Source organism: Homo sapiens, chromosome 21 (genome assembly GCF_000001405.40).
Source record: "Homo sapiens chromosome 21, GRCh38.p14 Primary Assembly".
NCBI lineage: Eukaryota > Metazoa > Chordata > Mammalia > Primates > Hominidae > Homo > Homo sapiens.
In genome coordinates this window covers 8,458,950-8,471,808 of record NC_000021.9, presented here as the reverse complement: position 1 = coordinate 8,471,808, position 12,859 = coordinate 8,458,950, and the positions used below count along the sequence as shown (strand labels likewise).

Sequence of the window (12,859 nt, the reverse complement as noted above, 5' to 3'; positions counted from 1 at the left end):
CCCAGCACTTTGGGAGGCCGGGGCGGGCAGATCCACTGGGGTCGCCAGTTCGAGACCAGCCTGACCCACATGGAGAAATGCCGTCTCTACTAACAATACAAAATCAGCTGGGTGTGGTGGCTCCTCCCTGTAATCCCAGCTACTCAGGAGGCTGAGGCAGGAGAATCGCTTGAACGCGGGAGGTGGAGGTTGCGGTGAGCCGAGATGGTGCCACTGCACTCCAGCGTGGGCACCAAGAGTGAAACTCCGTCCGAAGGGAAAAAAAAAAATTAATTAAGTGCTGTATTCTGTTATTTTTGCTTCCTACCCTGAGAAGAACATAATACAGCTGTTGTCTTTCTGCCTGCCTGCCTGCCTGCCTGCCTGTGGCAGGGCCTCATTCTGTCTTTCGCCCAGACTGGAGCACAGTGACACAACTATGGCTCACTCACTGCAACCTCAACCTCCCCAGGGTTAGGCGATTCCTCGAGGGATCCTACGGCCTCGGCCTCCCAAAGTGTTGGGGTTACAGGCGTGAGCCACCAGCACCCGGCCTGAGTTAATACATCTGGTCTCACTACGTCTTAACCACGCACCCACGAAGAACTCAAGTCAAGAGAGAGTCGGCAAGAGACTCTCAGCATTCTCTCCCGAAAGCACGTGTGTCCCGAGCTCCTGTGGTTTCAGGTGGCCGCGCGTAGAGGAGAGATTTCCAATGTTTCCGGAGAGGTGCGAGCCACAGTCACTCGGGGCATCCGAGCATGAGATGGGGTTTCTGACAGCGACTGAAGGGCCAGGAAGGGCCAGAATCTGCCAAGGCCCGGCGTTCCAGGGTGGGGCCGAGGGAACCCAAGGTAGAGGGAGTCAGCGGTCCGCACGGAGAGAGCTCCAGCCCTAGGCCCCACTGTGCAGACCGAATCAGAAGGAAGAGAGTCCTTCGTCCTACCTGCCACACCCCTCACATCCCCCCACTGAACTTGGGAGTGGATCCGTGTTCTAAACACGAGGTGACTCTCGGTTTGCAATGGATCACAAGGCGCCGGGCTTTCCAGAGTCAGCAGGATAAAGAAGTCATTCTGTCTCGGACTCCCCCATCCCCCGGTAACGGCGGCTGGTGCCTTTAAATGAGCCGAGGCTGGCCGGGCCGGAGCCGCTATGGGGGGGGGGGGGGTGCCTGTGGCACTGCAGAAAGTGGGCCTGAGCCTCGAGGATGGCGGTGCTGCAGGGACCCGTCCAGGCTGCTATATGGCAAGCACTAAACCACTATGCCTACCGAGATGCGGTTTCCCCCGCAGAACGCCTTTATGCAGAAGTACACTCAGAAGAAGCCTTGTTCTTACTGGCGACCTGTTCTTACCGCTCAGGAAAGGCCTATAAAACATATAGACTCTTGAAAGGACACAGTTGTACTACCCCGCAATGCAAATGCCTGCTTGCGAAATGTTGTGTTGATCTCAGCAAGCTTGCAGAAGGGGATCAAATCTTATCGGGTGGAGTGTTTCATAAGCAGAAAAGCCACGATGATATTATCGTTCCTGAGTTTGGTGATTCAGCTCGCTTTCCCCTTCCATCGTCGGGACATGTATATTGCAAGACAGATCGGCTTACCAAAGGATCAGAATGTGACCAAAAGAGCCTTCGTTGAAATCCTTTCCTTCTGGTGTCCCTTTGAATCATGATGTGAAATAGGGGGGAAAAGCCAGATCCTGACCAAACATTTTGATTCACCTCTCTAGAGAGCTTTAGCAACTGCCTGTCCAAGTGTTGCGCCACAACACTTGGACCTCGTCCTAGTTTATGTCACAGACAGCCCGAGACCGTTCTTACGGAAACACCCCAGGACACCGTCGAATGAAACGGATGGAATTTAGAATCTTCCAATTCAAAGTACTCCTTGAATACAGACTCCCCAGTGTCTTCTATCGATTCAGCTGTCCTTTCACCTGATACTGTCCCACTGGGAACAGGAACTTCCATATGATCTAAACAGGTTCAACATAAACCAAAAACTGGTCGAAGTTTATTAGGAGGACCAGCAGCTGTTAGTCCATTAACCCCAAGTGTTGGCATTTTGCCATTAGAAACCCCAAGTCCCGGAGACGGACCCTATTGACAAAACTGCACTGGTATGAGACACCGTCTGTCATTGACGTGCCATCCACCGGAGCCCCTTCAAAAAAGCCTGTTGCCAGAATCGGCCAAACCGGAACACCGTCTGTCTTCTCGCAGAGGGGAAAGAGCCGAAAGGTAACTCCAGTCCTTGCAAAAACACAAAGTTCTGGTCCGCCGACAAGGGCAACACCTCAGGTATTGAGCCCCACTATGGCATCTCCCCCAAATGCACCGCCTCGAAGAAATTCACGACTCTTGACTAGTGACAGCTCCACAACCGAGGAGAATAGGAGAAAATTAAAAATGAAGTTTCCACCTAAAATCCCAAACAGAAGAACCAAAAGTAAAACTAATAAAGGAGCAATAACTCCACCGAACATAAGTGATAGCCTGGAAGTGACAAAATTGGACTCTTCCGTCATTTCAGAAGGGAAAATAGCCACAATCGCGCCTCAGATTCAGGCTTTTAATCTACAAAAAGCAGCAGCGGAAGGCTTGATGAGCCTTCTTCGTGAAAGGGGGAAAGGTTATTTAGCTTTGTGTTCTTACCACGGCAAAGAAGCTATCAGCATCTTGAGCCATCTAGCTTCTCACCACTGCAATACCGGTTGGGTACTGTGCCAAATCGGAAGGGCCTATTGTAAACTTTCAGAGTCCACGCAAGCTGAAAGACAATTCTCAGAGGTTAGGAGGATTGAGAATTACAGAGTCGAAGGCATGGAGATCTACTCTACAACACTTTGGCATCCTCCGAAAGAGGTTGCTCTTTCAGTTCTGTCCAAAGACTTCACAGACATGGATAAAAATTCGCCAGCCAGAGGCCTGGTGTGCTGCAGGGAACTGTTTCGGTCTGCAACGGGAACACGATATTGCGATTCAATTCTTCCAGAGAACTCTCGAAGTGGATCCAAATGATGCTTATGCCTATAGCGCATTAGGGCGTGAGCTTGTCTTCACTGAAGAACTGGACAAAGCATTAGCTTGTTTTCGAAATGCTATCAGGGTCAATCCTAGACATTGTAAGGCATGGTAAGTGCTAATGAAGCGTAAAGACAAAGCCCTATGGATGGTGCCGGTACTCGCTAATTTTTCTGGTTAGATAGCTCTTTATTGTCACGAATTTGGTGAAAAATACTTAGGGATGGTACCTACTGCTGAATAACTTCTAACTAAGATGTTTCCTTACGAAACGTATGTCTTGAACAAACTCTGAAGTGAACTCATGATCGTAGAATACCAGATCCTTATACTCAACAGTTTCAGTCTTCTAGCAAACTTTTGCAGACGCTGTAGTTGTCTTTGGTTTGTGTGTGTGTTTCTTTAGTTGTGTTCCTTGATTTGTTACTTTTTCTTCGAGCACCGAAGTGGTGATGGGGACAAGAAGTGCTTGGGAGACTGGAAAGGAATAGCATAGTTCACTTATTGGATAATAGAAAAATACATGGAAACAATTCACTAGCTGCTGCTTTTTGACAGTGTTCCAGTTTACGGAGTTACTATGAAGAACTTCACGTACCCTTTAATTTAGCAGTCTCTCTGTTTTACTCTTTTGTACTCGTGTATAAGTAGGCACATAGGAAATTACTACCTAGGTCATATTGTTATCAACTGAATAAGATAGGAAAAAGTGTGGTCCTACTTCTGCCTCAACACCATCCTCACCGTTGACATTTATTGCGTTTCTCTGGACTGACTTCATAGTTTAAACGTCAAGAGAAGGCCGGGCTCAGTGGCTCACGCCTGTCATCCCAGCACTTTGGGAGGCCGAGGCGGGCGGGTCACGAGGTCAAGAGATCGAGACCATCCGGGCCGACACGGTGAAACCCCGTCTCTATTAAAAGTATAAAGATTAGCTGGGCGTGGTGGCGGGCACCTGTAGTCCCAGCTACTCGGGAGGCTGAGGCAGGAGAATCGCTTGAACCCAGGGAGGTGGCGGTTGCAGTGAGCCGAGATCACACCATCGCACTCCAGCCTGGGCGACAGAGCGAGACGCCGTCTCAAGAGAAATAAATTAAAAAAAATAAATACATACATAAGTAAATATCAAGAGAAAGTATGATTCTGAAGTCATAACCCTGTGGTAGTTATTTTGTCAGATACGGTGATCTTTGGGGTGACTTATTACAGCAGTGGAGTTCTATCATTTGATTTGCTTCTAAATCTGAAGCATTATATTACTGAAACACTTTTTGATTTGCGAATATGTTGTTTAATGGATCATATCTCATTTTGCTGTAGTAGTTACATTGCCCGAAAGATGGCCAAAAAGATAGTGCCAGCTACTGCTGACCAACGTAACAATCAACTTGCCAATACTGCCTTCTCTTCCGATAGCTACGTTCTCCGTCCTATTTTAAGAACTCAGTTCTTCATAAGACTTGTGTGGTTTTCGATTTTTTCCCAAGTCTGGTTGATCCTTGTGTTGTTATTTTTTTAAATGTGTATCGTCTGTTCAGCTATTTTGCAGGAGTCGCATTCTTAAAAAAATCTTAACCCTATCAAAAATTGTGTTTGTTTAAAGGAGGATTATTCAGATTGGCCAGCTTTTACTAGGAAGAGTGTAAATGCTGACGTATTTAGGTAGCTCTAAATACTGAGCAACTTTATTCTAACCACAAAATAGATAGCCTTTCTTTTGTCTTCACTTTCACTATCATTAGCACAGTGTTTAATACCGTTTCTTCATCTATAACACAATTATAATGATATAGGAAGCCACTCAAATAAGGCAGACATGTTGCGTTGCGCTTAAAAAAAAAAAAAAAAAGAAGTCTCTCTGTGGCACGGAATGAGGTGTGGCTCGAATCTAGAATCTCCAGTGAAAACCAATGAAAGAGGGTGAAACCCCGTGTCTACCAAAAAAAAAAAAAAAAAAAAAGAGCCGGCCATGGTGGCGCTGAGACAGGAGAATCACTTGAACCCAGGAGGCAGAGGTTCCAGTGAGCTGAGATCACGCCACTGCACTCCAGCCTGGGGGACAGAGCAAGACTCCATCTCAGAAACAAACAAACACACAAAGCCAGTCAAGGTGTTTAATTCGACGGTGTCAGGCTCAGGTCTCTTGACAGGATACATCCAGCACCCGGGGGAAACGTCGATGGGTGGGGTGGAATCTATTTTGTGGCCTCAAGGGAGGGTTTGAGAGGTAGTCCCGCAAGCGGTGATGGCCTAAGGAAGCCCCTCCGCCCAAGAAGCGATATTCATTTCTAGCCTGTAGCCACCCAAGAGGGAGAATCGGGCTCGCCACAGACCCCACAACCCCCAACCCACCCCACCCCCACCCCTCCCACCTCGTGAAATGGGCTCTCGCTCCGTCAGGCTCTAGTCACACCGTGTGGTTTTGGAACCTCCAGCGTGTGTGCGTGGGTTGCGTGGTGGGGTGGGGCCGGCTGTGGACAGAGGAGGGGATAAAGCGGCGGTGTCCCGCGGGTGCCCGGGACGTGGGGCGTGGGGCGTGGGTGGGGTGGCCAGAGCCTTGGGAACTCGTCGCCTGTCGGGACGTCTCCCCTCCTGGTCCCCTCTCTGACCTACGCTCCACATCTTCGCCGTTCAGTGGGGACCTTGTGGGTGGAAGTCACCATCCCTTTGGACTTTAGCCGACGAAGGCCGGGCTCCCAAGAGTCTCCCCGGAGGCGGGGCCTTGGGCAGGCTCACAAGGATGCTGACGGTGACGGTTGGTGACGGTGATGTACTTCGGAGGCCTCGGGCCAATGCAGAGGTATCCATTTGACCTCGGTGGGACAGGTCAGCTTTGCGGAGTCCCGTGCGTCCTTCCAGAGACTCATCCAGCGCTAGCAAGCATGGTCCCGAGGATCCCAGCTCCCAGCAGAGGCACTTTTGGTCACACAGGATCCTGGGCAGGAAAGTTCTCAGCAGGCTTAGGCCTCCTAGCCAAAAAGCCAAAACCACTTCTGGGATTTTTTTCAAAGAGCCAGTGGTTCCACAAGGGGCCGTGGGTAGTTGTGGAAATGGAGAGAAGTGTTTGCACGTACATATTTGAGACAGGACGGACAGGGCTCGGTCACAGATCACTTAGGACACGGGCAGATGCACATTGAGAAAACTCTTCCGGCATCCTAGGGGAACAGAGGTACGATTTTTCGAGACAGTCGAGGGAGAAGCCACCCCAGATTTTAGGATTGGATCTTTATTCATATGTAGTTTCTATGAGGTATCCAAGTCCAGAAATCAACTCGCCAGTTCTGTACAGCATTCTGTAGGGAGATCAAATCTGGGATGTCAGAAGTGAAGAATTCAGGCCTTGGTAAGGGATTAGATTAGATGTACTTGAGCTTCTTTTGCAAAAAAAGAGAGGGCGGGAGATAGCGAGAGCCAGAGACCGAGACAGACAGACGGACAGACAGACAGAGAGAGAGAGAGAGAGAGAGAGAGACAGAGAGACAGAGACAGAGACAGACAGAGAGAGACAACGATACACAGAGAGAGAAAGACAGAAAGAGAGAGAGAGACAGATAAAGAGACAGACGGAGAGAGACAGATAAAGAGACAGACGGAGAAAGACAGAGATGGACAGAGACAGAGAGAAACAGAAAGAGAGAGAAACAGACAGGAAGGGAGAGAGACAGGCAGAGAGAGAGAGACAAACAGACAGGCAGACAGACAGGCAGAGAAAGAGAGTAAGACAGAAGGCAGACACACACACACACACACACACACACATACACACACACACACACACACACCCCCACAGAGAGAGAGAGACAGAGAGAGAGACAGAGACAGACAGAGAGACAGAGAGAAAGAGACAGAGAGAGAAAGACAGACAGAGAGAAACAGACAGAAAGAGAGACACAGACAGAGACAGAGAAACAGCCGACGGGGGGAGAGAGAGAGAGAGACAGACAGAGAGAGACAGACAGACAGACAGGCAGAGAAAGACAGTAAGACAGAAGACAGACACACAGAGAGAGAGAGAGAGACAGAGACAGAAAGAAAGACAAAGACAGAGAGAGAGAGAGAGAGAGAGAGAGAGAGAGAAACAGACAGGGGGAGAGAGAGAGAGAGACAGACAGACAGGGAGAGAGAGAGAGAGAGACTAAGACAGAAGACAGACACAGTGAGAGAGACAGAGACAGAGAGAAGGAAAGACAAAGACAGACAGACAAAGAGACAGACAGAGAAAGACAGAGACGGACAGAGAGACAGAGAGAAACAGAAAGAGAGAGAGAGACACACAGAGAGAGAGAGTGAGAGAGACAGGCAGGCAGAGAGAGAGAGTAAGACAGAAGACAGAGTGAGAGAGACAGGCAGAGAGAGACAGAGAGAAGGAAAGAGAGAGACAGTCAGAGAAAGACAGAGACGGAGAGAGAGAAACAGAAAGAGAGAGAGAGACAGAGACAGAGAGAAACATACAGACAGGGAGAGAGAGAGAGAGAGACCGACAGACAGACAGAGAAAGGGAGTAAGACAGAAGACAGACACAGTGAGAGAGACAGGCAGAGAGAGAGAGAGAGAGAGAGAGGCAGAGAGAGAGAAACAGACAGGCAGAGAGAGAGAGACACAGAGAGAGAGAGAGAGAGAAGACAGACAGAGAAAGAGAGAGACAGAGACAGACAGAGAGACAGAGAGAGGGGGAGGAAGGGCGTGCTCAAGAAATAATCACACATATTTTATAATGCTTTTGATCCCATAAACGGTGGCCGGGGTATACTTTGAAAACAACGACAACGACAACAACAACGACAACGACAACAGCAACGACGACAACAACAACAACAACAACAGCAACAAGAGCAGCAGCAGCATTCGCCTACGGATTTCTAGAAAATAAGATGTCATGATGAAGGATAGTAAACATCAACCGGCTCTCACTGCACGTTGAGAGAGTCACAAAAGCGCTAGTTCACAACAGGAAAAAACGGCAGCTAACGTGTCTTGGGGAAAATAGACGTCTTCCTGAAAACTGGGGATTTCTACTTCACCTGAAAAGAAAGACATACGAGAAAGGAAAAACACGAACAAAACAAAACAGAACGAAACAAAACAAGCCAACAAACACGGGCCAAGGCGCCGTCCCTGGAAATCTTAAGTGAGCAAAGTTATTAGTTTTCAGAAAGCGTTTCTATTTTGGGCAAGTACTGAGAAGGCCCAGACTAGAGCCGTGGCGCCCTTCGCATTGTGAAACTCTGCTGGCCGGAGGGCGGAGAAACTAAAACATCGTGATAAAAGGTGACCGAGACCCAGCCAGGGTGAAGCTTTCCTAGGGAGGGAGGCCTGAGGCGGGAAGCAGCGGGGGGAAAAGCCTCACAACTGCAGACCCGCCCGCTTGCCCACGCGGGTCAAGGGGCTATGCCATCGGCCCAAGCTGCCTCCGGGGAAGTGGGACCGTGCCGCCCCCATCTTCAAAAACGGTGGCCCCCGAGTGAGGCCTGACGCCCACCGATGCAAATGTCAGCCTGGCAAGAATGAGATCGCCGGCAAGGGGTGGGGGAAGGGGAGAGAAGACGGAGGCACACCGGGGTGGCTCTGGAAGGTTTCCAAGCAGGGTGTTGGGAGGCGGGGGGGGGGGGGCGGTTTGGGGGAAACCCACCTAACCGACTCACTAAATTAAGGTGAAGGGACGTGGGTAGTGGGGGGAGCCGGGGGGCAACTTGAAAATTAAACTGACCCTTCCCAAAGCCCAAGTAGAAGAGTCTAGGCGCCAAAACACAAAGAAAAGTAAAGCGCCGATCAAAGAACAATAGGGCCCCCGCCAGGGCGGAGGTTCCCTAGGCGAGGTTCCCTAGGCAACGAGGGAGAGAGGGAGGGGCCTCCAGAAGGGAGAGAGAGAAACCCGTTGCCCCAGGCTCGGTGAAGTCGGCGAGACCTCCCTCCGTGTCACGTCGACTTTCAATAACAGTGGCCGCTAGGTGATGCCCGAAGACAACCGATGCCTGCCTGCAAATGTCCGTCAGCAGGGAAAAGAATTAATGAATTAATTAATTTCCGTATTTATTTAGAGACCGAGTCTCACTCACTCTACAGCCTGGGCCGTAGTGCAGTGGCGCGATCTCGGCTCCCTGCAGCCTCCGCTTCCCTGGTTCAAGCGATTCTCCCGCCTCAGCCTCCCGAGGAGCTGGCATTACAGGGGCCTGCCCCACCGCTCCCGACTCAGCTTTGTATTTTTAGTAGAGACGGGGTTTCGCCGTGTTGCGTCCGGCCTTAACAGTTTATGTTGAAGTCGAGGAGCTTATCGGGGAAATAGGAGAAGTACGGACGCCACACGTGACCGAGAGAAAAGTCTGAAAATGCCCCTCGCATCCAAGCGGGGACCCGGCCTCGACCTCCCGAAATCGTACACCGAGTGGGGAAGCCCAGCAAGGCCCGCCTGTCTAGATTCCTCTCGGCCTCTCTAAGCACCGAAGCACGCGCTTCTCACTCTCGTGGAAGGGGCAGGGCCCTACCCGGCACGGGGGTGTCTGACAGACTGACAGAGAAAGAGACAGACATAGAAAGACAGAGATGGACAGCGAGAGATAGAGAGAAACAGACAGAAAGAGAAAGAGAGAGAGACAGAGACAGAGACAGAGAGAGAGAGACAGACAGACAGACAGGGAGGGAGAAAGACAAACAGAGAGAGAGAGAGAGAGAGAGAGAGAGAGAGAGACAGACAGACAGACAGACAGACAGAGAAACAGACAGAAAGAGAGAGAGAGACGGAGAGAGAGTGAGTGAGAGGGAGAGAGAGAGACATGGAGGGAGAGAGACAGACAGAGAGAGAAACAGACAGAAAGAGAGAGAGAGACGGAGAGAGAGTGAGTGAGAGAGAGAGAGAGAGACATGGAGGGAGAGAGACAGACAGAGAGAGAAACAGACAGAAAGAGAGAGAGACGGAGAGAGAGTGAGTGAGAGAGAGAGAGAGACATGGAGGGAGAGAGACAGACAGACAGAGAGGCAGGCAGAGAAAGAGAGTAAGACAGAAGACAGACACAGTGAGAGAGACAGGCAGAGAGAGAGAGAGACAGAGACAGAGAGAGAGAAAGAGAAAGAGACAGACAGAGATGGACAGAGAGACAGAGACAGAGAGAGAAACAGACAGACAGGGAGGGAGGGACGGAGACAGGCAGAGAGAGAGAGACAGGCAGACAGCCAGAGAAAGAGAGTAAGACAGAAGATAGGCACAGAAAGAGAGACAGACACAGAGAGAGACAGAGAGACAGAGAAAAAGAAAGAGAGAGACAGACAGACAGAGAAAGAGACAGACAGAGAGAGAAAGAGAGAAACAGACAGAAAGAGAGAGAGAGAGAAACAGAAAGGGAGGGAGAGAGAGGGAGAGACAGACAGACAGACGGACAGGCAGAGAAGGAGAGTAAGACAGAAGACAGACACACACAGTGAGAGAGACAGACAGAGAGAGAGAGAGAGAGAGAGAGAGAGAGAGAGAGAGGCAGAGACAGAGACAGAGAGAAAGAGAGAGACAGACATAGAAAGACAGAGATGGACAGAGAGACAGAGAGAAACACCCAGAAAGAGAGAGAGAGACAGAGAAAGAGAAAGGGAGGGAGAGAGAGAGAGAGAGAGAGAGAGAGAGACAGACACACAGACAGGCAGGCAGGCAAGGAAACAGAGTAAGACAGAAGATAGGAACAGAGAGAGAGAGAGAGAGACAGAGAGACGCAGAAAAAGAAAGAGAGAGGCAGACAGACAGAGAAAGACAGAGACAGACAGAGAGAAACAGGCAGAAAGAGAGAGAGAGAGAGAAAAACAGACAGGAAAGGAGAGAGAGAGAGAGACAGAGAGAGAAAGAGAATAAGACAGAAGACAGACACAGTGAGAGAGGCAGAGAGAGAGAGAGAGAGAGAGAGACAGAGACAGAGACAGAGAGAAAGAGACAGACAGACAGAGAAAGAGACAGACAGAGAAAGACAGAGAGAGAAAGAGAGAAACAGGCAGAGAGAGAGAGAGCTAGCGAGAGAGAAACAGAAAGGTAGGGAGAGAGAGAGAGAGACAGACAGACAGATGGACAGGCAGAGAAGGAGAGTAAGACAGAAGACAGACACAGTGAGAGAGACAAGGAGAGAGAGAGAGAGAGAGACAGAGACAGAGACAGAGACAGACGACAGAAAGAAAGAGAGAGACAGACAGACAGAAAAAGACAGAGACGGACAGAGAGAGACAGAGAAACAGAGAGAAAGAGAGAAAGACAGAGAGAGCGAGAGAGGGAGAGAGAGAGAAACAGAAAGGCAGGGAGAGAGACAGAGAGAGACAGACAGATAGACAGGCAGAGAAAGAGAGTAAGACAGAAGATAGGCACAGAGAGAGAGACAGAGAGACACAGAAAGAGAAAGAGAGAGGCAGACAGACAGAGAAAGGGACAGACAGAGAAAGACAGAGACAGAGAGAGAGAGAGAGAGAGAGAGAGAGAAACAGACAGAAAGAGAGAGGGACAGGGAGAGAGAGAGACAGACAGACAGACGGACAGGCAGAGAAGGAGAGTAAGACAAAAGATACACACAGAGAGGGAGAGACAGAGAGAGAGAGAGACAGAGACAGAGACAGAGAGAATGAAACAGACAGACAGAGAGAGACAGTGAGAAACAGACAGAAAGAGAGGGAGACAGAGAGAAACAGACAGGGAGGGGGGAGAGAGAGAGAGAGAGAGAGAAGCAGAAAGGGAGGGAGAGACAGAGAGAGACAGACAGACAGGCAGAGAAAGAGAGTAAGACAGAAGATAGGCACAGAGAGAGAGAGAGACAGACAGAGAGACACAGAAAAAGAAAGAGAGGGGCAGACAGACAGAGAAAGAGACAGATAGAGAAAGAGAGAGGCAGACAGAGAGAGACAGAAACAGACAGAAAGAGAGAGAGAGAGAAACAGACAGGGAGGGAGTGAGAGAGAGACAGACGGGGAGAGAAAGAGAGTAAGATAGAAGACAGACACAGTGAGACAGGCAGAGAGGGAGAGAGAGGGACAAAGACAGAGACAGAAAGAAAGAAAGAGACAGACAGACAGACAGACAGACAGAGAAAGAGACACAGAGAGAAAGACAGAGACGAACAGAGAGAAACAGACAGAGAGAAGGCCCTAGCCCAGTAGCAATACAGTGCCTTTTCTTTCATTTTCTCTTTCTTTTCTTTTCTTTTTTTCTTTCTTGTATATCTGTATGTATGTATGTATGTATGTATGTATGTATGTATGTATGTGTGTATTTATTTATGTACGTATTTATCTGGAGACCGGGTCTCACTCTGTCGCCCAGGCTGTAGTGCAGTGGTGCGATCTTGGGTCACTGCAGCCTCCGCCTGCCAGGTTCAAGCAATTCTTCCACCCCAGCCTCCCGAGTAGCTGGGGTTACAGGTGCCTGCCCCACGGCGCCTGACTCCATTTCGTATTTTCAGTAGAGACGGGGGTTTCACCACGTTGGCCGGGCTGGTCTCGAACTCCTGACCTCGGGATGACAGACGTGAGCCACTGCGTTCAGTGTACAGTACCATTTCTTAGAAATCACTCCTCACGGGAACACACACTTATGGGTGACGTGTAGAGATTTTAGTTAGTTAGTTAGTTAGTTAGTTATTATGTGCGCGGGGAGGTGGGGGGACGGAGTTTGGCTCTTGCTGCCCAGGCTACAGTGCAATGGCCTAGGGGACTCAAGGAGTCAACCTATGGCAGAGAGGACACGTCATTCTGAGCGTAAGGGCCGCAGCGAAAGGTGGCAGGGCCCGCGCTTTTAAAGGCTGAAATCCCGGCGGCTCAGGCCTGTCGTTTCCAGCACTTTGGGAGGCCCAGGAAGGTGGATCATTTGTGGTCAGGAGTTCGAGACCAGCGT

General features: G+C 49.9%; 1 pseudogene; it reads left to right on the top strand.

The window, feature by feature from the left end:
- Positions 1–1,145: 1,145 nt before the first annotated feature.
- CDC27P11 (cell division cycle 27 pseudogene 11) lies at positions 1,146–3,882 on the top strand (annotated as a pseudogene).
- Positions 3,883–12,859: the final 8,977 nt, after the last annotated feature.